This window comes from Homo sapiens, chromosome 1, assembly GCF_000001405.40.
Source record: "Homo sapiens chromosome 1, GRCh38.p14 Primary Assembly".
Classification (NCBI taxonomy): Eukaryota; Metazoa; Chordata; class Mammalia; order Primates; family Hominidae; genus Homo; species Homo sapiens.
In genome coordinates, this window is record NC_000001.11 from 117,011,203 (window position 1) to 117,037,144 (window position 25,942).

The 25,942-nt window shown below is 43.7% G+C and overlaps 1 protein-coding gene and 2 long non-coding RNA genes across 8 annotated transcripts in view, besides 1 other annotated feature; 1 reads left to right on the forward strand and 2 right to left on the reverse strand.

The window, feature by feature from the left end:
• CD101 (CD101 molecule) overlaps positions 1-25,350 on the forward strand; it is a 34,793-nt gene extending 9,443 nt beyond the window's left edge. Inside the window, exons 3-10 of one of the 6 annotated variants that reach the window (NM_004258.6) lie at positions 348-764; positions 2,204-2,590; positions 5,888-6,271; positions 6,954-7,358; positions 10,371-10,781; positions 14,307-14,702; positions 22,658-22,932; positions 24,954-25,350. In NM_004258.6, the coding sequence (NP_004249.2) occupies positions 348-764; positions 2,204-2,590; positions 5,888-6,271; positions 6,954-7,358; positions 10,371-10,781; positions 14,307-14,702; positions 22,658-22,899 (2,642 nt within the window). In that variant the 3' untranslated portion in view covers positions 22,900-22,932; positions 24,954-25,350. Of the gene's footprint in view, positions 1-347; positions 765-2,203; positions 2,591-5,887; positions 6,272-6,953; positions 7,359-7,951; positions 8,059-10,370; positions 10,782-14,306; positions 14,703-22,657 lie in introns of those variants that run through there. The other 5 variants (NM_001256106.3, NM_001256109.3, NM_001256111.3 and 2 more) reach the window with 5 other exon arrangements.
• Positions 6,430-7,629: an enhancer, noted in NCBI's record as "BRD4-independent group 4 enhancer chr1:117560254-117561453 (GRCh37/hg19 assembly coordinates)". NCBI's record gives its function as "activates an origin of replication core promoter dependent on BRD2, P300/CBP, MED14 and CDK7 cofactors, and independent of BRD4, by STARR-seq in HCT116 cells {active_cell/tissue: HCT116}" and the evidence as "EXISTENCE:reporter gene assay evidence [ECO:0000049][PMID:35650434]".
• LOC124904386 (uncharacterized) lies at positions 6,891-10,799 on the reverse strand. Its single transcript, XR_007066499.1, has 2 exons — positions 7,910-10,799; positions 6,891-7,232 (listed from the first exon to the last, which is right to left on the reverse strand). It is a non-coding gene; the product is annotated as an uncharacterized LOC124904386 (long non-coding RNA).
• Positions 14,280-25,942, reverse strand: part of CD101-AS1 (CD101 antisense RNA 1) — a 34,009-nt gene continuing 22,346 nt past the window's right edge. Inside the window, exons 3-4 of the long non-coding RNA NR_110786.1 lie at positions 20,912-21,134; positions 14,280-15,584 (exon numbers count right to left, since the gene is read on the reverse strand). This is a non-coding gene — a long non-coding RNA (CD101 antisense RNA 1). The remainder of the gene's footprint in view (positions 15,585-20,911; positions 21,135-25,942) is intronic.

Genomic DNA, 25,942 nt, shown 5'->3' on the forward strand with positions numbered 1-25,942 from the left:
GGATGGATTTAGGATCAGAATCTAAGGTTTCTCTGTCCCAGTGCTTTCTCCCTTTAAATACATGCTTTGTGTCTGAGTAGCTAAATTGGTTATAGCCTATGTTAATAAAGCAAAGTGAGGGTCAACACATTGATGAGGCATTTACTTTGCCCAGTTCCGTAGACTGTACCTAGATGCCAATGTTCCCAATGGCAATAGAGAAAGCATATGGATAGGAAAGCATATGGCAAGTGGAAAACCAACTCAAAGTCTGTGTGCTTTACATAGGGTAGCTCAGGGCGCCATCTAAGGAGGCCCACTGGACAAGCACTGGGCCAGTCACATTATTATCATTCCTTTGTTTCCAGTTATTCCAGATACCCTCTCTGCCACCATGAGTTCTCAGACTCTCGGTAAGGAGGAAGGTGAGCCATTAGCCCTCACCTGTGAGGCATCCAAAGCCACAGCCCAACATACTCACCTCTCTGTCACCTGGTACCTAACACAGGATGGAGGAGGAAGCCAAGCCACTGAGATTATTTCTCTCTCCAAAGATTTTATATTGGTCCCTGGGCCCTTGTATACAGAGCGGTTTGCAGCCAGTGACGTACAGCTCAACAAACTGGGACCCACTACATTCAGGCTGTCCATAGAGAGGCTCCAGTCCTCAGATCAGGGTCAGCTGTTCTGTGAGGCAACGGAATGGATTCAGGATCCAGATGAAACTTGGATGTTCATCACCAAAAAGCAGACCGATCAAACCACTCTGAGGATCCAGCCAGCAGGTAATTATCTTCCTACGAAATTCATTAATACACTAGTATTAGGTAGTGGGTATTTATGAGGTATGTTTTAATTTTTGTTCTAATCTTTTGTTGGCTCTAAAAAATTGGCTAGAAAGTTTGATTTAATTTTGTATTTTTGTCATCTGAGAAGCATAACTAAGAGGGAGCACATTCAGTTCTGGCTCTGCCCACGGATTCTTTATGGGATAAGGTCTACTGAGTGGCTAGATCGATTCCACAAGCCAGTCATGGAAGTAGTTTTGTTACCATTTTTGCCAGTCTCTGTTCACACATTATCTACATTATCTAATTTAGTCGTAACCACCACCCTATGAGGCAAGTAGTTGAGTCTCCATTTTAAAAATGAGGACTCTGAACTTCAGACATGCTAGATGCGCTGCCTAAGCCCACCCAGCTGGTGAGAGTGGGGCTGGCATTCAAAGGGAGGCCTGTCTCTCTCCAAAGCCCACTCAGCACAGACAGCTGGGCCTCAAAGTAGCTCCAGTTTCCAACATGAAGCCTTGTCTTCGTCAGTGCTGGGGTTTCCTTCCACCTGCCCCCTTTCCCAACTTGGAATGCAGTGACTTTGCTTTTTTATTATTTTTTTAATTTTTAAATTTTTTTAAGGACAGGATCTTGCTATGTTCCCCAGGCTGGCCTTGAACTCCGGGGCTCAAGCAATCCTCCTGCCTTGGCCTCCCAAAGGGCTGGGATTTCAGGCGTGAGCCACCGCACCCAGCCTGCTGTTACTTTTCATAATCTTTTGGCATTTTTGTCAAAGCAAGTATAAAGGCCTTGTCTGTGATTCCTGGTCTCTATAGGCTTTTGTCCAACAGGAAGTGGTTGCTAAACCATATACTGTATATGCATTGCTAAAAGCAATGATCCAATAGTGGATCATTAAAGTTTTTTCTTTATTAAAAACAGTATTATTGTGTTCCACTAAAAATTGTCCTGTTGGCCTCAAGTATCCAAGTTATACTCATGAGTCCTATGGAGCGATATCACATGTGCTTTTTAACTTCAGAAAATTCTGCTGGATATTCTTAGCCAAAAAAGAGAGTAAGAAATCACAATTTACAGCAATTTAGTGTAAAATATTTAATATATATATTTAATTCAGTATACAATATTTTATTTTTTAATTTAAAAAGCATACATTACTATATGTGTCATACATTTGTGCATACATCTTGCTTACTAAGAGTGCATTCAGAAAACCATGTGTACTGTCCTTTCTGGGTGATTTAAGGAAGAGTCATGAGCGTTTTTTACTCTAAGGATTTTGTTTTTTTTGGGTTTACCTACCGCTATAGAATTGAACTCCCACATAAAATGTGATCCCTGTGACATCCTTACAGAGGGTGTCATCTCTCTCTGGTACTGAAAGGACAGAGGCTGTGGGCTCTCTAAATACCTGCCTTGCTTTTGTTTCCCAGTGAAAGATTTTCAAGTCAACATTACAGCTGACAGCTTGTTTGCTGAAGGGAAACCCTTAGAACTGGTTTGCCTGGTTGTAAGCAGTGGCCGTGACCCACAGCTTCAAGGCATTTGGTTCTTCAATGGGACTGAAATTGCTCACATTGATGCTGGTGGAGTCCTGGGCCTGAAGAATGACTACAAAGAGAGAGCAAGTCAAGGAGAGCTCCAGGTTTCAAAGTTAGGCCCCAAGGCTTTCTCTCTCAAGATCTTCTCTCTGGGCCCAGAGGATGAAGGCGCCTACAGATGTGTGGTAGCAGAGGTCATGAAAACACGCACAGGTTCCTGGCAGGTGCTTCAGAGAAAGCAGTCACCAGACAGCCACGTGCACCTGAGGAAGCCAGCAGGTACGTAAAGTCAAGGCCAGGCATGCATTGGGCTGCTTTCAGATGCCCCCTTGTCAGTGGAAGACCCCTTCGTGGATACAATGGGGATCTTCATGAAGAGCAGGTTTCAATCAGATCACATTGGAGGTGGAGTGGAGTGGAGTAAAGGAAGGCACCCAAACTAGCTGAAGACCCGAGTCCTATTCCTGAGTCATTAAGTAGTCTGTGACCATGAACACACCACTTTACGTCTCTAAGTCTCAGCTCCTTCATCTGTAAAATGATGGCACACAACTAGATGGTCTTTAAGTTCCTTCTTGCTATCTTAGAGTCTATTTATTTTTTGTTCTAATTTTTATGTATTAGATATTTCTTAAAGCAGAGAACATGTGTATTAATGAAGCCCTCTGCCTTTGTGTGTGTGTGTGTGTGTGTGTGTGTGTGTGTGTGTGTGTGTGATATGAATAGGTTAAGAGTAAAAAGCTACACTTTGTCCTCCTTCCTGAGGAATGAACACCCGTGTTATCCTACCTTGAGACCCTGCCGGCATTTTTCAGTTGCCTTCTGTTAGTCTCCTACTATGTTGACCTGGTGTGGGAAATAGTACTTAGTCATAATTCTGACTCACAGTAAGAAATGAAGAGGTAATTGATAGTGGGCAGACTCCATCCTCTGCATTTTGCTGTGATGTGGTGAGACGCCGGTCCAAATGGTTCTGAATGTCTGCATGCACGGAACTGAGGAAGCCACTCAGCTCACCTTTACTTTATGAAGGTTGGGTGACCTTAAACATGTTTGAATAATCAGTGCCTTTTGTGAAGAAAAACAGACATATCTGCAACTAATATAAGGATTCACTAGGCTGGGTTTAAATTCAAAGTCCAGAAAGATTAATTGCCCAAAAAAAATTTTTTTTAATGTTTTAAATTTTTAAAAACTGAGCTAAAAATAAAGGTGTCCTTGTTGCACTGGCTCATTGGAGACATCTCCAAAGATAGATAAATTTTCCTTTCATGTTCTCCAATATGCCATTTACTAGGAATGAAGATGCACCGATTTGGCCTTGAGTGGCAGGCCAGGAAGTGTGTTGGTGTTCGTTTTCACACTAAACATTTGGTCTGACTTTCTAGAATTAAGGAAAAACAATATAGGTGAGTTCACATATTTATGCAGAGATAAGTTTCTGCTTTATGCATCTCAGCCTTCTCTGGAACATATCTGCAGGCTTTTGTAAACCTGGTATGTGGGAATTTCACCTGAAGGGGAACTTCAGGGTACACAGCTGATAATCCTATCAATAGGGTCATCTTCTAAAACTAAAAATAGTTCTTTGTATAGGCTGGAGTCTACACTGGGCTTACTATGTAGACACAGAAAAAGTTATTAGCAAATTTATTAAGGATCCTGTTTAGCATTCTGTTTTGAAAGTCAAACGTTACTTGAAGTATTAGCAACATTTTATCATTTATGAATATTTTAATCACTCATTACCATTGTGAATGTGTAACTTGCACACATTTCATAAGTTTATTACTTCTTACCAAAAGGCAGTAATGGCCACAATGAACTAAGGAAACATCATTTAAAAAAAAAATCATTAGTTTAAACTAATCATCATGGTTATGTTAAAGTGGTGAATTTCCCCTCCAATTTTGAAACTTCAGTTATGAGTCTATTTTTAACTTGAAAAAAACTAAATTTGAAAGCAGATTTGCTCTTTTTAAAAACATATTTATGGACATTAACCCTCATTCTCTCTTTGTTACTTATGTATATGTATGCATAAAACAGTCAAAGATTGAACTCCTTCCTCCGCAGGGAAGAACAATTTGCAAATTCATTTAGATCCTATTTAGATTTCTAATGCCAGTTCTATTTTATTTTCCTCTTTTGCTTTGAATTACCTCTGCTTTTGCCAGAGCCTATCATTAAACACTAATGCTAGCAGCTAACCTTTACTAAGTACTTTCCCTAGCCATCCAGGCTAAGCTCTTTGTTCAGTCTTCATGTGCCATTTGTTCAGTCTTCTCAACAATGCAGCAAGGTGAGCACTATTATTATCTTCATTTTTACAGAAAAGAAAACTGTGGTCAAATATGTTGCCCAGGGCAATTCTGACTCCAGGAGCCGTGGCCTTAAATTAGTGTTGGGCTGCCTAGAATGTACAATCTCCTGCTGTATCTCTACATTGCTCACAAAGCAACCAGGAAAGACCTTGCAGAATTCATGTTTGTTGAATAAATGCGTTTGTTGAATGATGACTTGAATTTCCCATCTGGGAGCCAGATTTACATTTATGGTTTTACACTGTAGTTTAGACATAAGAAGCCTCTCTGTTTACAACAACGTGTGTTGTCGTACACCTTGTTGTACACGTTGTTGTACAACAACGTGTGTTGTAAACAGACACACATTTATATATATATATATTTATTTATATATATATATAAAATGTATATGTATATATACACGTATTTTCCCGCCAAGTAATTGTTTTTCATGGTAATATTGTGAACAGAGATATAATTAACAATGATGTTTCTTCCTCATTCAAAACACTTACTAAACCAATCAGATTGATTAGGGAAAGATAAGAAAGAGGAAGATTGTCTTGAACTCTGAAGGTCCGAATTCTAAAAAACTAAAAATTTAAATAAACACAGCTTTATTAGTTTCAGGCTCTTATATCTACCCTAATTAATATACTAAAACATTACCAGATGTTTTGCCAACTAGATATTCTTAAGGAAGAGTTGATTTAACAAACAAATAAGAAATATGTGCAAGTGATAAATTGTTTAAGTAAGCTGGGTGCAGTGGCTCATGCCTGTAATCCCAGCCCTTTGGGAGGCTGAGACAGGAGGATCGCTTGAGGCCAGAAGTTCAACACCAGCCTAGGTAACAAAGAGAGACCGTATCTCTACAGAAAATTTAAAAATTAGCCAGCATGTTGGCACGTGCCTGTAGTCCCAGCTACTGAGGCACGAGGCAGGAGAATTGCTTGAGCCAAGGAGTTTGAGGTTGCAGTGAGTTAAGATCACAGTGCTGTGTTCTAGCCTGCACAACAGAGCAAGACCCAGTCTTTAGAAATAAATAAATTGTTTAAGGGTGAATACATCCTCCGATATTCTTTCTGCTATCTTGTTTCCACTATTTAAGGTTTGGCAAATCTTTTGCCTGAGGGTGGTGCAAGAGGAAACAGCCCAATTTGACTTGTCACAAACTAGTCAAGTCCTAATTAATGAAATTTCACTGTATTTTAGAACATTTCTTATTTACCTAAAACAGTTTTGTTCTTCTATAATCTGTAACTCACAGCAAGAAGTGTGGTCATGTCTACCAAGAACAAGCAGCAAGTTGTGTGGGAAGGAGAGACACTCGCCTTTCTCTGTAAGGCTGGTGGAGCTGAAAGTCCCCTGTCTGTGAGCTGGTGGCACATCCCACGGGACCAGACACAGCCCGAGTTTGTGGCTGGCATGGGGCAGGATGGCATTGTGCAGCTGGGTGCCTCCTATGGGGTACCCAGTTACCATGGCAACACAAGGCTGGAGAAAATGGACTGGGCCACCTTCCAGCTGGAGATCACCTTCACTGCCATCACAGACAGTGGCACATATGAGTGCAGAGTATCTGAGAAGTCTCGGAACCAGGCCAGAGATCTGAGCTGGACTCAGAAGATTTCAGTTACTGTAAAGTCTCTGGGTAAGTGTCAAAGGAAGTCCTTTTCTGCACCTGTATATCACTCAATTCATTCTGCAGTGGAACTGGATTGCGTGTTATCCTGAATCCCCCAGTGATGGTATGTGTACCCTAGGACACAGAGCTAGTCTCTGGCTACCCTCTCTGTCAATTAATCTTTAAAGATTCTTCATTTTTGTAAAGATCATCTTTAGAGTGCAACTTGTAAATTGTTGTTCAAGGTTAAAAACAAAATCCTATGGATCAGCTTATAGACGAGTATAGCTGAGCCTCTTACCTTCTGGCTTTTGACAGCTGTGGCCCTGGGATTGCAGAGCCCATTGAAGCATGTGCAAAAGGGTTCTGATACTGAACCCACGCATGGGGGTAAGGGAAGGAGGCCAGACGACTAGGGTGGGGAGTGCTCCACCCACTCAGCAGCAGCTGTCTAAGTAGCAGATTGGAGAAACACTGCCTATTTGTTGTGGCTGCTGGGAACAGTCTTAGAAAAGGATCAACTTTGCAAAATTGAGGTCACAGTTCAGGACAGACTGTACTGGGAATCAATTTCTACTCTATAAAATAGGAAACTCCAAATGTACAAATGCATGGTCCTAGTCAAAGAGGTGGCAACTAGAAAAACTTGAAAGTGCTATATTTTAATCTGGTAAATATATTAGAAATTCTGTTTCATTTTTCTGTCTAGAGTCAAGTTTACAAGTTAGTCTGATGAGCCGTCAGCCGCAAGTGATGTTAACCAACACCTTTGACCTGTCCTGTGTCGTGAGGGCCGGTTACTCTGACCTCAAGGTGCCACTCACTGTGACGTGGCAGTTCCAGCCAGCTAGCTCTCACATCTTCCACCAGCTTATTCGAATCACCCACAATGGCACTATTGAATGGGGGAATTTCCTATCCCGGTTCCAAAAGAAGACGAAAGTGTCGCAGTCTTTATTTCGTTCACAACTCCTAGTCCATGATGCCACTGAGGAAGAGACAGGAGTGTATCAGTGTGAAGTAGAAGTTTATGACAGAAATTCCCTATACAACAACCGCCCCCCGAGGGCTTCTGCCATCTCTCACCCACTGAGGATAGCCGTCACTTTACCAGGTAAGTGTGACTTGAAATTAATCCCTGTTTTAAAAACAAACAAATAGCAATCCTCCCATTTTGGGTAAGTTATAACAATAAAACATAAAATACTTTCTCCCATATTTGTTCTATCTAAGTAAGCACCACATGATGAATGATACCCAGGTTAACATTGAGTTAGTATGCATGGGTTGGCCATACTGGTTGTTAAAACATTGAAATACCTTCCATGCTGGCTAATTGCTGCTCTCTACCCATTCCCCATTTTCCCCTAAGTTCCCACCACCCAGCAACTAAAGGGTACCACGTGGCACAGCAGGGGGCCTCTAGGACCTGGCTAGAGGGGAGAAGAAATGTTTTGGATTAGTCACTGTCCAGGCCTTACCAGTTAGTAAACATTTGCAGTGTCTCTGCTAGTGGTAGGGATAAGGTAAATTCCACTGGAATACATCCACCTACTTCTTTGTAAGGTGTTAATGTATAAGAGTCAGAGAATTTATTATTACAATCAAATATAATCCATCTCATCAACTGATAATAGAGCATAGGAGTTAAAAGTGAGATACTACCTAGGCAAAGTTCTGCTGTGTCATGTATCTTCTCTCTTATAGTTTGCATTCTCTTAGGAAGAGTGATGGAGAGACGTTGGAGTCATTTAGATCTGACAGTCACTGGATAGCAGAACAGCTTTGGATGAGACACTTAATCTGCTGAAGCCTTAGTTACCTGATCTGTAAATTGTTAATGTGCAATTTAAATATGGTGACATATATAACATGCCGAGTACCTGACACACCAAGATGACGCTCAAACGTGGTCACTGTCATTATTCTCTCTGCTGCTGTGCAACATTTTTGGTAATAGTAATGATCCCCTTGTTCATGAATTCATGCTTAATTAATTTGTCCTCTCTGTGGTATTTGCAATTGCTGCCCCAATCTGTCTTCTTGAAACTTCTTTTTTCCTTGGCACCATGACACAAGATTTTCATTTTCTCCTCCACTGATTTATTCTTTAAAGAAAACAGTTTCTCTGGATTCTATTCTTAGCTTTGTTCTCTTTTCATTCTATACGCTCTCCTGCAGTGGACTCGTCCCTACCCATGGATACAAGCTGTATGTTCACAACTCCCACATTCATTATCTTGACCAATTTCTCTTCTGATCTCCAGACTCGTATATCCAGCTGTCTCCAAGACATGCCTGCACTCATTATGTCAAAACATAAACCCACCATTATCATCCAAAGCTCTTTCTTCTGCATTGCCCCTTATGTCCCCACTCCTCACCAGTGACCCAAGTTGAAAACCTGAGTCATCACAACTCTTATGTTCACCTTGTATCTAAACTCCCACAGTGTGACATGCAAGGTCCTTTATCATCTGGTACATTTGTGTCTTTCCAGCATCATCTCCTTCAACTTTCCATCGTGAATTTGAGCTTCAGCCACACTGAATTACTGGCAGCTCCTCAATTGTCCATGTTCCCTCTCACTCTCAAAGTCTTTGATCTAGTTGCATCTTTTGTGTGGCAATCCTTAACCTCTTCTCCATCGGAATAATTCCTATAAACCCTTAAGACTCAGCTCAGAATTATCTCCTCCAGGAAGTCTCCCCTCACTCCTGTATTTGGGCTAGGAGACCCTGCTGTGTGCTCAGATAGGCACTTCTATATACCTCTGTCTTACATGAGGGACATGAGGAACAAAAATTTTACACTGAGGCCAGGTGTGGTGGCTCACACCTGTAATCCCACACTTTGGGAGGCCAAGGCGGGCAGATCACCTGAAGTCAGGAGTTTGAGACCAGCCTGGCCAACATAGTGAAACCCCGTCTCTACTGAAAATGCACAGATTAGCCAGGCATGGTGGCGTGCACCTGTAGTCCCAGCTACTCAGGAGGCTGAGGCACAAGGATCGCTTGAGCACAGGAAGTGGAGGTTGCAGTGAGCCAAGATCATGCCACTGCACTCCAGCCTGGGCGACAGAGCAAGACTCCATCTCAAACAAAACAAAACAACCAAAAATCTCACACTTGAGAAAGGTTTCTCAAGAGTTATTTCAGCTGCACATTCTAAATGTGGAAGACAGTGATCAGGGCAAATATCACTGTGCTGTGGTAGAATGGCTCTTTGTCTACAAATGGCACTTGGCACCATCTCTAAGCCTCTGTCCCTGCACTTGTCTCCCTCTAGAGTGTGAGCCACTGAGGGAAGATATCCACAGGGCCTGGAATTGTCTGGCACATAATATAGTGTGTGCTTCATAAATATTTGTTGAAGGAAGAGTAAAGGGACCTATGGGCAACATCAATAAGCAGTTAAAAAAGTAGAGTGGGTGATGTCAGCAAGATGCTAGAAGAAGATTTGGGAACAAGGATTGTCACTCATCTTTCTGACAAAGCAGAAAAGCTGCTGGGGTCAAAGATTAGTTGGCTCCATATCTATACAATGTTCCCACAGTTAAGTGACTGCAAAGACACACACAGTTTTAATCACTCATGTACAACTTCCTTTTGTTTACCCACGTTTGAAGGCAGATACAACTAGAGTTTGGAAATTGTGAATCCAGAAGTACTCTGCATAGTAAACACACAAACACAGCATTAATAGGGCCACTTTCTCCCAATCTGATACATGAAATATGACAGAAGAGATGCTTGTGCTTAAATACCGAAGCAGTATCATGTGGAAGAGAGATACTGGGCTTGTCTGTGTGACACTCCCTCTGCCACACCACCCCTACCAAGCACAGGTAGCACTAGGACTAGTGGATGGAAGTTATGAAGAGATAAAGTTCAACTTGATATCAGAAAGCATTCTGGAGGGGCAGAGCTGTCCAGAGATGAAATGGGCTGCCTTGTCAGCTAGTGATGCTGTTCAAAAGCTGTATGAGCAGTGAGTGGGGCTACTGTAGAGGGAGTTCACCCATATGATGGCGGGAGGATGCAGTGTCATACTTGACCTCTAATGTCTCTACTACCTTAACTTTCTATTTCATAGCAAAGTAACTGTTTCATTTTTTTAAATTTAGAGAGCAAGCTAAAAGTGAATTCAAGGAGTCAAGTCCAAGAGCTCTCCATCAACTCCAACACTGATATAGAATGTAGCATCTTGTCCCGGTCCAATGGAAACCTTCAGTTAGCCATTATTTGGTATTTTTCTCCTGTTTCCACTAATGCCTCTTGGCTAAAGATCCTGGAGATGGACCAAACCAATGTTATAAAAACTGGGGATGAGTTTCACACCCCACAGAGAAAACAAAAATTTCATACTGAGAAGGTTTCCCAAGACTTATTTCAGCTGCACATTCTGAATGTGGAAGACAGCGATCGGGGCAAATATCACTGTGCTGTGGAGGAATGGCTCCTGTCTACAAATGGCACTTGGCACAAGCTTGGAGAAAAGAAGTCAGGACTAACAGAATTGAAACTCAAGCCCACAGGTAAACCTTGCGAGTGTATCCTCACAATGTCTGTCTGTCTGACGGCTGTTTTCTCTTGGGCAGCTGTTCTATGGAGTGATTATGTGGAAGTAAAAATATGACCTAAAGTCATAGGAACAGTATCTACCTACACATGACTGCAAGACCGAGTAGTCCACCAAAGGAGGGGAGGTCACTTAAGGCAATCCAATCTGAGGTTTTGGGGAGCTGAGGTAGGAGCAATATCCCTTTGATTGGTTTGCTTCTCAACCTGGCAGCCTGGTCTGTGCAGCTACCCAGGGTATCGTATCTCCAGATCTCTATCATAACAAGCTGTGTCATTCCAGTGGGGCTCTACTGTAATTTGGCAGAGAAAGAGTAATACGAAGCATATTTCTCCCACTGTGAACAGAAACTGTACAACTCTATGGGGATGTGTGGAGAAATTGCTTCTCAACATTTAGCTGCCTAAACATAAGGCAAATAAGAGTAGTTAACTGTTGGAATGGCTTACTGAGGGAGTCTCCTCTTCCTCAGGAGATCTTTAAAAATGTAATGGAAGTTCCGCACTGGTCTAAGAGTGCCACTGTCTAAATGTGGGCAGGGTTGATTAGGTCTCTCAGCATAGGTTAGGTCACTTCCAGTGTTGATTAAAATTAAATGAATGTCACAGCCAAGGTTCAGGAACTGGCCAAGATCCTACAGCACAATGCAGAGAAGTTGATCTAATTTGGTGCTTGAAATACTATTTTCAAGGTAACGCTAAAAAAAAATTAGATGATAATTGAGCATTACTATGTGTTAGGCAGTGGAATACAAAGATAAAGAAGGCACAGCCCTGGCCCTTAAGGAGCTCCCAGTCTGGTGGGACAACAAGGGCAGAACAGCAGCTTGGTTTGGGGTCTCTTCCTGCCCTCTGGCTTCCCTTCTGTATGTTCTTCAAGCCCCTTCTTCTCCCTGCTAAATGTGTGTGTTCCTCAGGGATAGATCCTGGGCCTGTTTTGCTTCTTATTCTCTGCTTTCCTCAGAATTTCTTAAACACTGCCCTGGTTTCAACTACCACCTTCTAGATGATAACTCTGAGATTTTGTGCTTAGCCCTGATCTCCTGAGCTCCAAGCCTTCATACCCAACTGCCTGCTGTACATTTCTACTTGGATGCCCCCATACTCAGCATGCCCTAAATTGCACTTAGCATCTCTGCCATCTCACCATGCTCATTTGCACTTCTGCATTTCCCATCTGTGTGATTGGCATTCTGTCTCCCAGTCATCCACACCAAACTCTTGACCACATGTGCATGGCCGTCTTCAGGAGGCAGCCACTGCTTAGCTCAAGTGCTTCCCATGTAGAAATGTGGGCTCCGTGTTGTCAGATCTTTTTGCATATCTAGAGATGCCTAAAATCTTTTTTGGTGACATCTCCCAGTTTGAGAATGTCCACAACTAATTCACTTCTTCTTTTTCTTTTTTTTTAGACGGAGTCTTGCTCTGTTGCTCAGGCTGGAGTCAGTGGTATGATCTTAGCTCACTGCAACCTCCTCCTCCTGGGTTCAAGCAATTCTCCTGCCTCAGCCTCCAGAGTAGCTGGGACTACAGGTGTGTGCCACCATGCCTGGCTAATTTTTGTAATTTTAGTAGAGACAGGGTTTTACCATGTTGCTCAGGCTGGTCTTGAACTCCTGACCTCAGGTGATCCACCTGCCTTGGCCTCCCAAAGTGCTGGGATTACAGGCGTGAGCCACTGCGCCCAGCCCAGTTCTCTTAAAATACTGCAAGTGTCAAGCAGAACATACCTGTGGGCTTGGTGTGGCTGTGGACTTCCGGTTGTGCACGTCATTTAGGGAACAAGTTAACCAAGAGGCCCCAGAAAGATGCTGAGAATGACTGGTCAGAGTTGTAAGGGGGATATTTTCTCTGAGGTTGGAAGAAAAGAAGTCAATTTCAAGGAGAAATTGGACTCCAGTAACAAAAACCACATAGAGGACAGAAAAGGACTAGAGGGTCCCTTGAACTGGGAAATTGGGCCCTGGCCAAGTAAAGTGATGGGATTGGAAGCCAGATCACAATAAAGTAGGAAGTAATTTGAGACAAGGAAACAGCAACAGTATTCCATGTGCTAATATTCCACGTGCTACTCCATGAAGGAAAGGGGAGAGTAAAAATGGTAACTAAGAAAGAGTCCAAGATCAGACAGAATTATTCTCTTAAAGACAGATTAATAAATGTGTTTGAGTCAGGCACAGTGGCTCATGCCTATAATCCCAGCACTTTGGGAGGCCAAGGTGGGCGGATCACCTGAGGTCAGGAGTTCGAGACCAGCCTGGCCAACATGGTGAAACCCTGTCTCTACTAAAAATAAAAAAGTTAGCCAGGCATGGTGGCCCATGCCTGTAATCCCAACTGCTCGGGAGGCTGAGGCAGGATAATCGCTTGAACCCGGGAGGCAGAGGTTGCGGTGAGCCAAGATTGTGCCACTGCACTCTAGCCTGGGCGACAGAGCGAGACTCCGTCTCAAAAAATAAATAAAATAAAAATAAATAAATAAATAAATAAATAAATAAATGTGTTTGTAGTGGAATTGAAAATGTAATGCACACTATAATTTCTTTATTTTGTTTGTAACTACTTTGGCTGTTATTCTAAATCCTCACCTGCTGGTTAGCAAGGGGAAAAAAAGTAAATGTCAAAATCTCTTTAAAACTCAGTCTAATCCAATCATCTAAATAGCTCCCATGGATGGCCTTCTAACACTTGCATCAAAATGTTCAGTCTCTTGGATGGCGTCCTCTCTCTCTGCGTTTACACCCAAGATAATATCTGGGTGTATGGGAGGAGAGTAATTTGCTAAGAATGAGGGGTACTGGTGGAATACATGGCTTGAGGGAGCTGCTAAAAGTTGTGAATGACCACTTTGGGAAGTAGAGGAGGAGTGAATCAAGGGTAAGTAAAAGCAGCAGGCAGAGGGCCCTGCAGAAGCTGTGTAGTTTTCAATGGCAGGGTCCAGCAGGCAAGCAGTTGGGCTAAAGAAGGAAAGAGGCTGGTTTGATTCCTAGCAGAGAATGTCCTGGCAAATGTGAGAGAAAAACAGGGACCAAGGACAAGAATTAAAATGAATGTGGCTGGACGTGGTGGCTCATGCCTGTAATCCCAACACTTTGGGAGGCTGAGGTGGGCAGATCACTTGAAGCCAGGAGCTCAAGAGCAATCTGGCCAACATGGTGAAACCCCGTCTCTACTAAAAATACAAAAATCAGCTGGGCATGGTGGCACACGCCTGTAATCCCAGCCACTTGGGAGGCTGAGGCAGGAGAATTGCTTGAACCCAGGAGGCAGTGGTTGCAGTGAGCTGAGATCATGCCACTGCACTCTGGCCTGGGTGACAGAGCAAGACTCTGTCTCAAAAAATAAAAATAATAAAAAAAATAAAATGAATGCACTGATGTCTAAAGAATATAAGATCTTCCCAGTGAGAACTAGATTTTTCAGAGGTGGTATCCAAATCTGAAAGTCTGCATTCTCTAATTTACTGCCATTTTATTTTCTAGGAAGTAAGGTACGTGTCTCCAAAGTGTACTGGACCGAAAATGTGACTGAGCACAGAGAAGTGGCCATCCGCTGCAGCCTGGAGAGTGTAGGCAGCTCAGCCACTCTGTACTCTGTGATGTGGTACTGGAACAGAGAAAACTCTGGAAGTAAATTGCTGGTGCACTTGCAACATGATGGCTTGCTGGAGTATGGGGAAGAGGGGCTCAGGAGGCACCTGCACTGTTACCGTTCATCCTCTACAGACTTTGTCCTGAAGCTTCATCAGGTGGAGATGGAGGATGCAGGAATGTACTGGTGTAGGGTGGCAGAGTGGCAGCTCCATGGACACCCAAGCAAGTGGATTAATCAAGCATCCGATGAGTCACAGCGGATGGTGCTCACGGTGCTGCCTTCAGGTAACCAGGGGTTTATCTACCGCGAGCTCATGGTCAGGAGAATACATGGCTCTCCTCTTATCCTCTCCCTCTCACCTATCTTTTGCTCCTTCTGAAGACAATTTTCAGACTGAAGACAATTTTCAGGTTCCCTAAAGAAGATGACTTTGCTGTCTCTCTCAATAGTAACTCATTTGAACAAACAAGGTCCACATGAGATTTTGGCATAGACACTTAAATATCGGGAGCATCTGACAGGTCCATGTCTTTCTGCTGGGGTTCAGGGAGAAGGTGGGAGGTGAGCAATAAGCTAAGCTTACTGAGGGAAAGGGCCATTGGAGAAGTAGGGGTGTGGTCTTGGTGCCAGACACCAGGAAGCACAAAGGGAAAATCATCAATAAAGGTAACAATCCTAAGAGACCAGCTAGCTTTAGTGACACTGCTTAGGAGGGACAGAATGCTGTTGAGAACATATGGGAACATCTAAGAAGTAGGGATAGGTGCATCCCAGCGCAGCAGGGCTTCCAGAGGGGAAGTCGAAGCTATCCGATTTGTTCCTTGAGGTGGTCCATCATTGTTTTTCCCTGTTCATTCCTCAGCAGAAGTTTTCTCCTGAGTGCCAGGCCAAAATGTTTTTTCTATCAGCCTTTTTCTTCTTTCCAACAATTACAGGAAGTCCCATACTCATGAGCACATTCCGTACATGTTTTCCCAGTGGAATTAATAGGCTCTGTAGAATCGGCAGTTTTTGCAGTAGAATAAATAGATAAGAACTGTAAAAAGTATACAGTCTGTGATGAAAAGCGTATCTTCTCTGAGGCAGATGGGATCCTTCATAGCATACATATTGTTAATCTTTGTGAGATCCTTGTAAAACAGGTATACGGTTTTTAAAAGATAAACCTGGAAAGAAAACATTAAAAATTGAGTGGCCTTCGTATTCTTCAGAAAACCTTTGTCATGACAAACTGAGGGTTTTGAGGGTAATTAATGTTGAGGATTTCCAAGGAAATCCCTGTAATGTACCTTCTGGGCTCCTCCACCTGGCTGTTCCTTCCTGGTAGTCAGGGAGGCAGTGTGGGGTGATAAAAAATCCCAGGGGCTGGAATCTGACCAGCCTAGGCTCAAATCACAGCTCTACTACCAATACCAGCTATGAAATCATACGCTGGTTACTTGCTGTGAGCCTCAGCTTTCTATAAAATGAAGATCACAATATAAATATGTATAAAGTATCCAGTACAGTGCTTGGCACATTGTCAGTGCTCAGCAAATGTAATCTCCTTTTCCCCTTATGCCTCCAAACCCGCTGCACATACATATACACACAGGTACACACATACCTACATGTGTACATCTATGTGACAAAATAATGACACTTGTTTAATAAATAACTATATCAGGTTCTGAGGCCACAAAAGTGTACATGACAGAGTCTGTTCCCACCGAGCTTGGAATCCAGTGGGAGAAATCAAGTCCAACATAACAGGTGTCATCAAAGAAGTATTTCCAGTAGACTAGGGGAACAACAGAGGCAGGGCTGGGGTGAAGTGCTAGGTAGGGAGATGATCTGGGAAGGTTCCCCAGAGTCTGGGGCTCATGAAAAGGAAGAAACATATTTTAAGAACATGAAAGAGTATGCAAGATGATAATAAGATGTAAAATTTCATGTTATATTCGGGGAACTCCTGGTCATTGAGAATGGCAGGAACTGCAGTCTCTATGGTACAGTGGCAAGAGATGAGACCAGTGAGGAGGGAAAGGAACAGATGATAGATCCCAAATGTGTCTAGAGTATGAAGCTAAGAAGGAAGAACTTTATCATGACAGTGATGGAGTGTCATTGAAAAAGTTTAAGCAGGGGAGTGACATGATCAGATTTTCCTTTTAGAAAGTTCCCACATTAAAATGAATTGGAGGTCGGGCACAGTGGCTCGTGCCTGTAATCCCAGCACTTTAGGAGGCCAAGGCGGGCGGGTCACCTGACGTTGGGAGTTTGAGACCAGCCTGACCAACATGGAGAAACCCTGTGTGTACTAAAAATCCTAAAAATTAGCCGGGCATGGTGGCCCATGCCTGTAATCCCAGCTACTCGGGAGGCTGAGGCAGGAGAATCGCTTGAACCCAGGAGGGGAAGGTTGCGGTGAGCCGAGATCACGCCATTGCACTCCAGCCTGGGCAACAAGAGCAAAACTCTGTCTCAAAATAAATAAATAAATAAATAAAATAAAATAAAATAAGTGAATTGGAGGGGAGGTCCACAGTACAGTGCAGGTAGTATATGAAATTGTGGAAACCCAACTGGGGAAAGATGAAGGCCTGAGCTAAGGCGGTACCCATGACGACTAAGAAAAGAACAGGCATTAGGTATTAGGAGGTGTAATCTTCAGGATTTAGAGGCTGATTCATTGTATATAGAGGGCAAAGGAGCAGAAGGAGAGAATTAAGGATTAACATTTGGACTCTAGCTTAGATGGATAGTCGGGTCATTTACCAAGCAAGGTAATATATGAGAGGGATTTGGAGGGGAAGATTAGTTCAGTTTTGAATAAGTTGGGCTGGAACTGAGTTCAGAGTAACTGTGAGTTATTGATAAAGGTCTGTCCAATAGACATCAAGACTGCCAAATGGGATCTGCACCAGAGTTGTAGATTACAAGTCATCCATAGGTAGCCAGTAATGATGCCCAAGGGTGGAGCTCTGGGATAAATTGCCATTTCTCAGGGAGTGGAGAGCCTGTGAAGGAGACTGATAGGAGTGATGGAGAGCTGGGAAGGGAATCAGGATTTGGTGGTACCACAGACACTAAAGGCAGAGAGGGCATCAAGAGGGTGAGGAGAGTCGACAGACTCAGCTCTTGCAAAGAGGTTGATTAAGATAACAGTGGGAAAGTATCCATTGGATTTGACATTATGGGACAATTACAGAAAAGTTATCAGGGAAGTCAGACTGCAGCAAGTTGAGGGGAGAGTGGGCACATCAATGCAGATTGCTCTTTCAAGAGCTTTGATGTCAAGGGGAAGAGAGAAGACAATAAAATGGCAAAAGTTGTCAAAAAAAAGTGAAAGTATTTTAGTTTTGCTTTTTTGCTGTTTTGGTTTGAAGATGATACAGATTTGAGCACATTTATGTTTTAGAGGGGAGAAAGCCAGCAGAAAGAAAAGAAAGAAAGAGAGAGAGAGAGAAAGGAAGGAAGGAAGGAAGGTAGGTTAATAGAAGAGTAGATACAACTGACAGTCCAACATCAGAAAGAAAGAAAGAAAGAAAGAAAGAAAGAAAGAAAGAAAGAAAGAAAGAAAGAAAGAAAGAAAGAAAGAAAGAAAAGAAAGAAAAGAAAGAAAGAAAGAAAGAAAGAAAGAAAGAAAGAAAGAAAGAAAGAAAGAAAGAAAGAGTAGATACGGTTGACAGTCCAACATCTGAAAGAAAGAAAGAAGAAAGAAAGAAAGAAGGAATGAAGGAAGGAAGAAAAAGATTAATAGAAGAGTAGATACGACTGTCAGTCCAACATCTCACCATGCATGCACCATCTCCTTCCTGGAATGCTCCTCCATGCCATCTTTCCCTGGTCAACACTCTCATCCTTCATCCAGCAACTTAACTGCCACTGCCTCAGAGACTTCCCTTATTCTTTTAGCCCCCACACCTGCAGTTACCTGTTTAACATCTGTCACACTGCTAGACTATACTATAGGCAAAGATAATGAGTGTCTCATTAGTAGCACTAGCACAGTGCCTGGCACATAGGGGATGCTTAAATGTTTACTGAATCACTGTGTAATTGCACTCCTGTTGAGTACCAGGTCTATGTGTTATCAAGATCCAGTTCAAATATAATATGCTACCTATGGTCACTTAACAGATGGTTTTCCATGCTCTCTATCTGGCTATCCCAGCTTGGGCTGGTTTTAGGGCCACACAATAGGACTGTAGAGCATGTGGCTCAAGTGAAGGCAGGAAAGTTAAGAGACATTTTCTCGGAGAATGGACCTTGCCTTTTCTTCTCTATCTTATTTCCTTATCAGTGACTAAGCTATGGCAGAGACAACAGCTTCCTCAGTCTTTTTACCTTACCCTTAGACCCTAGACATTAAATGTCTTATTCTAGAGAATTGTCTGTGATTAATTGATAGGCCAGGCTATAAGGCTTCCTGGGAACTGGATTATCTGTAGTAGTGTGGTACTTGTTACTATTTCCCAGCTTTTATTTGGGTAAAGGTCTATTTAGAAATTAGATCCTTGGGCCAGATGTGATGGCTCCCATCTGTAATCCCAGCACTTTGGGAGGCTGAGGTGGGAGGATTACTTGAGCCCAGGAGTTTGAGACCCCTGTCTCTACAAAAAATTTAAAAATTAGACACATGGTTGATGCACGCCTGTAGTACTTGCTACTCAAAAGGCTGAGATGGGAGGATTGCTTGAGTTTGGAGGTCAAGGCTGCAGTAAGCCATGATCATGCCACTTTGCTCCAGTCTGGATGACAGAGCAAGACACTGTCAAAACAAACAAACAAACAAACAAACAAAGAGAGAGAGAGAGAAAGAGACAGAGAAAGAAAGAAAGAGAAAGAAAGAAAAGAAAGAAAAAAAGAGAGAGAGAAAGAGAAAGAGAGAAAGGGAAAGGGGAGAAGGGAAGATAAGGAAGTGGATTCTTGAAGGAGCTGTGTGTCTTTACCACACTGAAGTATTTGGAGATGCCAAGCTACTTACCTGTGCTTCCCAGTACCTCCAGCAAGGCCTAGCACATGGCATTCAACAAATGCTTAATGAAAGAATGAGCAGGCACGTCTTCAGTTGGGTTGAAACAGGATGCTGTCAGTGATTCACTTATTCTGGGATGCACTTGTTATCAGGTTACCTTACCCTACTTTTATTTCTTGGCAAGAGCCAACTCCCACATGGCTGCATGTTTGGGGTTGGGTAGTGGGGAAGAGTTGGCAGCCCCCTCTTTATCTCACACCTCTTTTCTTCTGAAGTCAGTGTCTCTGAGGAAATATCAAAAAGGAGTGCTCCTTTTGCTGTGCTTGGCTGTGGGTGGAAGCACGTTCTAAACTAAGCCTCATGATGAAGTGCTCTCATTACATTTTTGGCTTTGTTTTGAAGACCTTGTACTTTGAGCATTGGGCACTTACTTAGATTGATCAAAATGCCAAACCTTAATGGTTTGAATGTCACTAATTCTAATCCAGATATGGGTGAGAGGCAGATGGTGGGAAATGGTGACTGTGGGATGCAGAGCAAACACTGGCCTCCCAGGAGAGGTGATTTAACAGCACAGGCACTAACAGTTGCTAGCTGTTGGCCACTTCAGCATGGTAAGGGGCACACCTTGCCATCCTTTGATGGCAGATTGCACTAAGCTGGGCAGCCTCTTCCCCACCAAGATAGCCAAGCCCTCTGGCTGTTCCTTCATGCTGAAAAGCAGAGTAGCAGATTTATTTCCACCTCCTGTGTAGTGGCCCCATCTCGCCATCATTACCCCACCATTCTAGCAACTGTAATACCTGGTGCTGTGGACTCTAACCTCACAATTCTCTGCCTCCCATGAGTAGAAAAGGAAGCCAGGGCCTCCTAAGTAATCATTTCAGTCTTTGCTGAATGTCACCCAGGTCTGAGGACAGGGGGACTAGAGATGTAAGGGAGAGAGAGCCTGTGGAGGAAGATGGCCAAGCCTGGGGTCCCTGTGGGAGAGATATCTGTAGGCTCCAGCCCTGTTCTCTGTCTGTTCTCTTGGGAGAAGGTTTCCTGTGATTTTCTTAGCTTTCTCAGTAGCATTCTAGCTAATATTTATTGCTTGCTGACTCCACAAATGCTTTAGGCACTTCGTTAGATGCTTTATTATACATTATCTCATCACAACTCTAGAAATTGTTATCCCTATTTGGTTGATGAGGAAACTAATGATTAAGAGAGGATAAGTAACTTATCCAATGTCAATAACAGCACATTGAAGATTGAGGATTTGAACTCAGCTCTCTTTGAAACACAGTAGGTGCTCATTCACTACTCTGCACAAATGCTCACAGCCAGTGCTTATAATACCTGGACTCCATGGCTCCATTCACTTGCATCATTGCAGTCTATGCTTCCTTCTAGCCACGGGCCTTCAAATGTACTCAGATAAGACCGGGGGAGAATAACTGTAGTCAAGCAGGGTCATTGGAAGAGGGGTCAGATAGGATGTGGAGCAGAGGGATGGTAAAGAATTCAAAACCTAACTTTATCATTGCTCACCATTTCAAAAAACAAAACTAAATTTAGGATGAAGGATACAAATGAGATCAGAGAAAATCCAGGCCATGAACCTCTGCTGCTCTTTGCCAGCCCCATTCAGAGCTGCCAGCCTAATGTTCAGTGATGATCTGTACTTTGTATAGCATGATGGCAGCCATCCCTGGGTTCCCATGTGTGGAATGTACTCATGCAATTGATTCATTCATCAGGCTCCATTGAGACCCTGTGAACAAAGAGTTGAGGAAGATAAAAAGACACACAAGACACAGGCCCTACCCTCAAGGAGCTCACAGTGCAGGAGGTGAGCGAATGTCTAGATTCTTTCTTGACTATCATCAAAGAGATGTTCTTTAACATGTAGGATTCGTCGGCAATGCCAAAAATGGAATTCTTGCAGCAGGAGGTTGGTCAAAATGACCTCTAAACCTCTTTCATCTCTAAGCATCCATAATCCCATGAATCCTGTAGCTTAACCTTTGAAGAAGAAATTGCTTATGTCATTACAATTTTCCAGTAAAAGCACAGCTACAGTTAGCATTGAATATTTCAGAACAGCCCTGATTTCAGATATCATGTCATAAATAAATGTAATTGGAAGACTACATTTAGTAATTGGTCTCTTTAAGCATGTGTCTTTCTGCTTCAATAGACTGTTTCCTGAAACCTGTGGTGTTTGCAGTCCTCTGGGCCTTTGCTTTCCTGGCCGTGTGGCCAGGAGCCACTTTGGGGCTGCTTGTGCGTGCTCTGCGTGTGTATCTGCTGATTGATAGTGCTTCCCGGCGGACTGCAGCTGCGGGATGATCATATGCTTCAGCATGCCTTTATATAGTATCTTTTGCCCATGTGGTTGCAGTCAATCCAATTTAATTCAGATCAGCAAAAGTTACTGAGCACATGTGCTAGGCACTGTAGGGGATATAGAAACAAATGGCACTATCAGACATACTCAAGTAACTATAGTGAACAAAGGAGACGAGTAAAAGGGAATTAAAGAGGCCTAAACAAAGGGCTGAGTGAGAACGGGATGGAAGAGAAGAACTGTGCCTGCAGCAAGGTAGGAAGAGCTGAGAGAGTAGGAAGTGTGATGGAGCTAGGCCAGAAGGACCTAGAGGCTCAGATGCATGGAGCATGTCAGGTGGTGGCCACAGCCAGAGCAACACAGGAAAGGAGTGGGAGGGAGGGGGCCGGGGAAGGAGGAGACCCACAGGGAGGGCCAGGCTTGGGTCAGCGGGGGTAGGGGCTTCTTATTGTGGGTGTGATTGTTTTATAAGGACAGTGCAGAGTGCAGGGCAGAGTGTGTGTGTATGTGTGTGTGAGAAAGAGTGTGTGCCTGTGTGTTGGAGGAGCAGCAGTGGGAATAACTCAGTTAAAAATTCAGGACTGGCAACACTGTTGAGAACGAGGGTTGAATTATAGATATCTTTTCTGAAGAAAGAAGATTAAAGGAGAGGTTTTCTTTTTTGTTTTGTTTTTCATTTTGGCTGTTAGTTTTAAGTAGGTCATTGGAACCTCCAGTGGTTGGAAATCGCAGGGCAAGGGGCTGTTGCATTAGAAGAGCCTGTTCCAGGAGCTCTCTTCCCCCAGTGCTCTGTCCTGTGCTCCTCATGATTTCAGGGGCCCACTGCTATTTGGCCCCATTATTTTTACATATACTTGCCTATAACAATAAATCCCAGGAGTGTTTGTAATTGACTAGTACAAATAAGTTGGAGATGAATTACTCTCTTGTTTCTCCCTTCGTTGCAGAGCCCACGCTTCCTTCCAGGATCTGCTCCTCGGCCCCTTTACTCTATTTCCTGTTCATCTGTCCCTTCGTCCTGCTCCTCCTTCTGCTCATCTCCCTCCTCTGCTTATACTGGAAGGCCAGGAAGTTGTCAACACTGCGTTCCAACACACGGAAAGAAAAAGCTCTCTGGGTGGACTTGAAAGAGGCTGGAGGTGTGACCACAAATAGGAGGGAAGACGAGGAGGAAGATGAAGGCAACTGAATCCCAAGAGGCACCTGCAGCCAGGAAGGAAAGGTGGGGGCTTTTTAATTGGGCTAACCAGGGTGTGAATGAATCCTGGTTCTGTCCTCAACTATGTCTGCGGCCTTGGGCAAGTTACCTAGGAATCAGAGGGAGCATTCACTGAGTGCTTATTGGTTCTACGCACTGTTAGGTGTTCCTTTGTGTCTTACCTCATCCACCTCTCGCATCCCCCCTTGGAACAAGATAGCATCATTACCCTACATCTCTTGAAGGTTCAGGTCCCTGGGCTGCAAGGAGATAAGAGGCTCCCTCACACAGCCTCTGGAGGGCTAAATGAGATCCTACAGCAATGCCCTGGTGGGGCTTCTCTCTCCCTCTTATGTCACTTGTCACACCTGCTCTAGGTAATCATTTTCCTCCAGATGAGAGGTGTAGGAAAGGACCTGATGCCAGCAAGGAAAAAGGAATTGGTAACATGCTCTTTGTTTACCTAAAATCTGTCCCCACAACAAGAATGTAACTTCCTTCGAGGCAGAAATTCAATTTTCTTCTCCCAGCCCACCTACAAAGGCCCACTCAAGAGCAAGTTCTGTGTAAAGGTGCTTAACTAATACAGGTTCTTTGACAAAATGATAAAACATTTGTAACCTGAGTTTGGGGCTTTTTGTTTATTGTTTGATAAGACTTTTTATTAAGTAATTGCTGAGCAAAAACTTTGTAAAAACTCATGTAACAGTACTCCAGTCAGCCCCCCAAGGCCTCGTACCCCTGCTTCCCCCTACACCTCCATATCCCCACCAAAAGGTCCATCTGGCTCCTGGTGCTCAGCCAGTGCCTTATTTTCTTTGACCTGACAGCACTGGGTGGTAGGGAAGGTATTGTCTGGAGGAGCAGGGTTGACAGTGCCACCGTTCCCTCATACGCCTGCAGGGCTGGGGTTTGGGGCAGCAGTAGGTCAAGTCTGGTTCCTCAAGGTCTCCTATTCTCAGTAGCAAAAAGCAGCCGGTGGGGGTGGGGTGTAATGGCTTAAAGCTTTCAACAGCTGTCCCCACTGGGCCTACAGTCCCCTCATCTTTGTTTCAAAAGCCGCTCAGGCCCTGTTGTAGCCAGAATTGGAAATCAATCAGTGCCACCTAAAGACTTGAGAAAACACATCTATTTATTATCTATGTGACCAACCGAGTTGCTTTAACACTCGTTAATTTGCATTTCCAAGGAGAGCAATTTAGTTTTAATTATTTGATCAGGCACACACGTCCTCTCCAAACATAATTAGTTCCTTCCTAAGGGGATTATTGGTGGCTATGAGCACTCCTACTATGGACCTACCAGTTCCTTAAACTCATGTCCCTTCATAGCCTGATTTAAAATACTCCAAATCTTTCCTTAAACATGTCAGCACATTTGTTTCTTGTCATCCAGGTAAGGGAGCATATTTTTACAAACAACAAAGCTGAAATGAAGACTTTTTTTTTTTTTTTTTTGAGATGAAGTCTCGCTCTGTCGCCCGGGCTGGAGTGCAGTGGTGTGACCTGGGCTCACTGCAAGCTCCGCCTCCCGGGTTCACGCCATCCTCCTGCCTCAGCCTCCCAAGTAGCTGGGACTACAGGCACCCGCCACCATGCCTGGCTAATTTTTTTTTGTATTTTTAGTAGAGACGGGGTTTCACCGTGTTAGCCAGGATGGTCTCGATCTCCTGACTTCATGATCCACCCGCCTCGGCCTCCCAAAGTGCTGGGATTACAGGCGTGAGCCACCACGCCCGGCAGAAGACTCTTAGAAAGTGTGATGACCCCCTGCCCCTATTTTTTAGAAACCTGTATTTTAATTCAAAGGGAAAGAGAGCAGAAGTGAGCCTGGGCAGAGAATCTTGGATGGACTCTGCTGCAGCCCTCTGTGGGAGCACTCTTCACCCCATCCCTCCTCTCTGCTCACATGGACACCTCCTTCAAGCTTCTAGCTCAAACACCTCTTCCCCTTTTGAATCCAGCACAGAGATAGCACAGAGGAGATGTAAGCAGACAGGGAGGGTCTCCTGGGAAAGCAGACATTTAACCAACTTGAGCAATCAGCTTGTTTTACAGCTTCCTGCCTTGCTGCCTGTTTCTTCCCAAGCCCCGTGTGGAATGTGGTGACCTAGTCACCTGGAACCAGCTCCTGACAGACCCCGGCAACTTCTAGATGAACCCAAGTGAACTTTCCTCATTACCATCCTGAAGTCACTACCCCAGGGGGAGCTATAGCTTCATGACCGTAACATGTGACCTGTGTGCTGGCAGGACGACTCACTGCGGCTGCGCCACTGGGACCCCTCCCCTACATGCACCAATGCACTCTCTCCCCTCTCCATCACCCCATAAAACCCTCCTGTCACTTTCCTTCAGAGACACCGCTTTGGAGAGTATTCCCAGCGCTCTCCTTGCTTGTGACAAGTAAAAAAAAAAAAAAACTCCTTTTCATCAAAACTCATGTTCTTGTGGAGAGTTATTTGTTACTCGCCAGGCAAACAAACGCTGGTTTTTTTCAGGGAACAGAGACCCTCAAATATGAAACGGTTCCGGCCAGAGCACAGCATGGGAAGTGTGAGTTCCCAGTGGGTACCTGCTGCATGTCAGGCCCTGTGCTAGGAGCAAGGGGCCCTGTGGTGACTCAGACACAGCCCCATGCCCCTGGGATGCTCACCTTGTTTGTCCTGGATGCTCTGCTTTCATTAATGGGACTTAGAGCACCTTTGATAGTCTAAGCAGCCACATGGCACTCTTTGTCCCATAGGCAACTAAAATCCTCCAAAACTAAAACACCCCCACAGTATTTTCTTCTTTTTAAATTTACAGAATAAAATTTGCCCTGATCCAGTTCAGCAGACATTTTATGTGAAACCTCTTCTCTCTCCAATTACATACTGTTTACCTTTGGTTTTTGAAACTTAGTGGAGAGCTTTACTTTTACTTATTGATTTCAGCTTTTCCATTTCATGCCACCACCTGGTTTTACTTTTGGCTTTTTGTGTTATAAATCTTCCTTGGCAAAAGGACAAGCCTCTGTCTCAGGAGTTGACCAA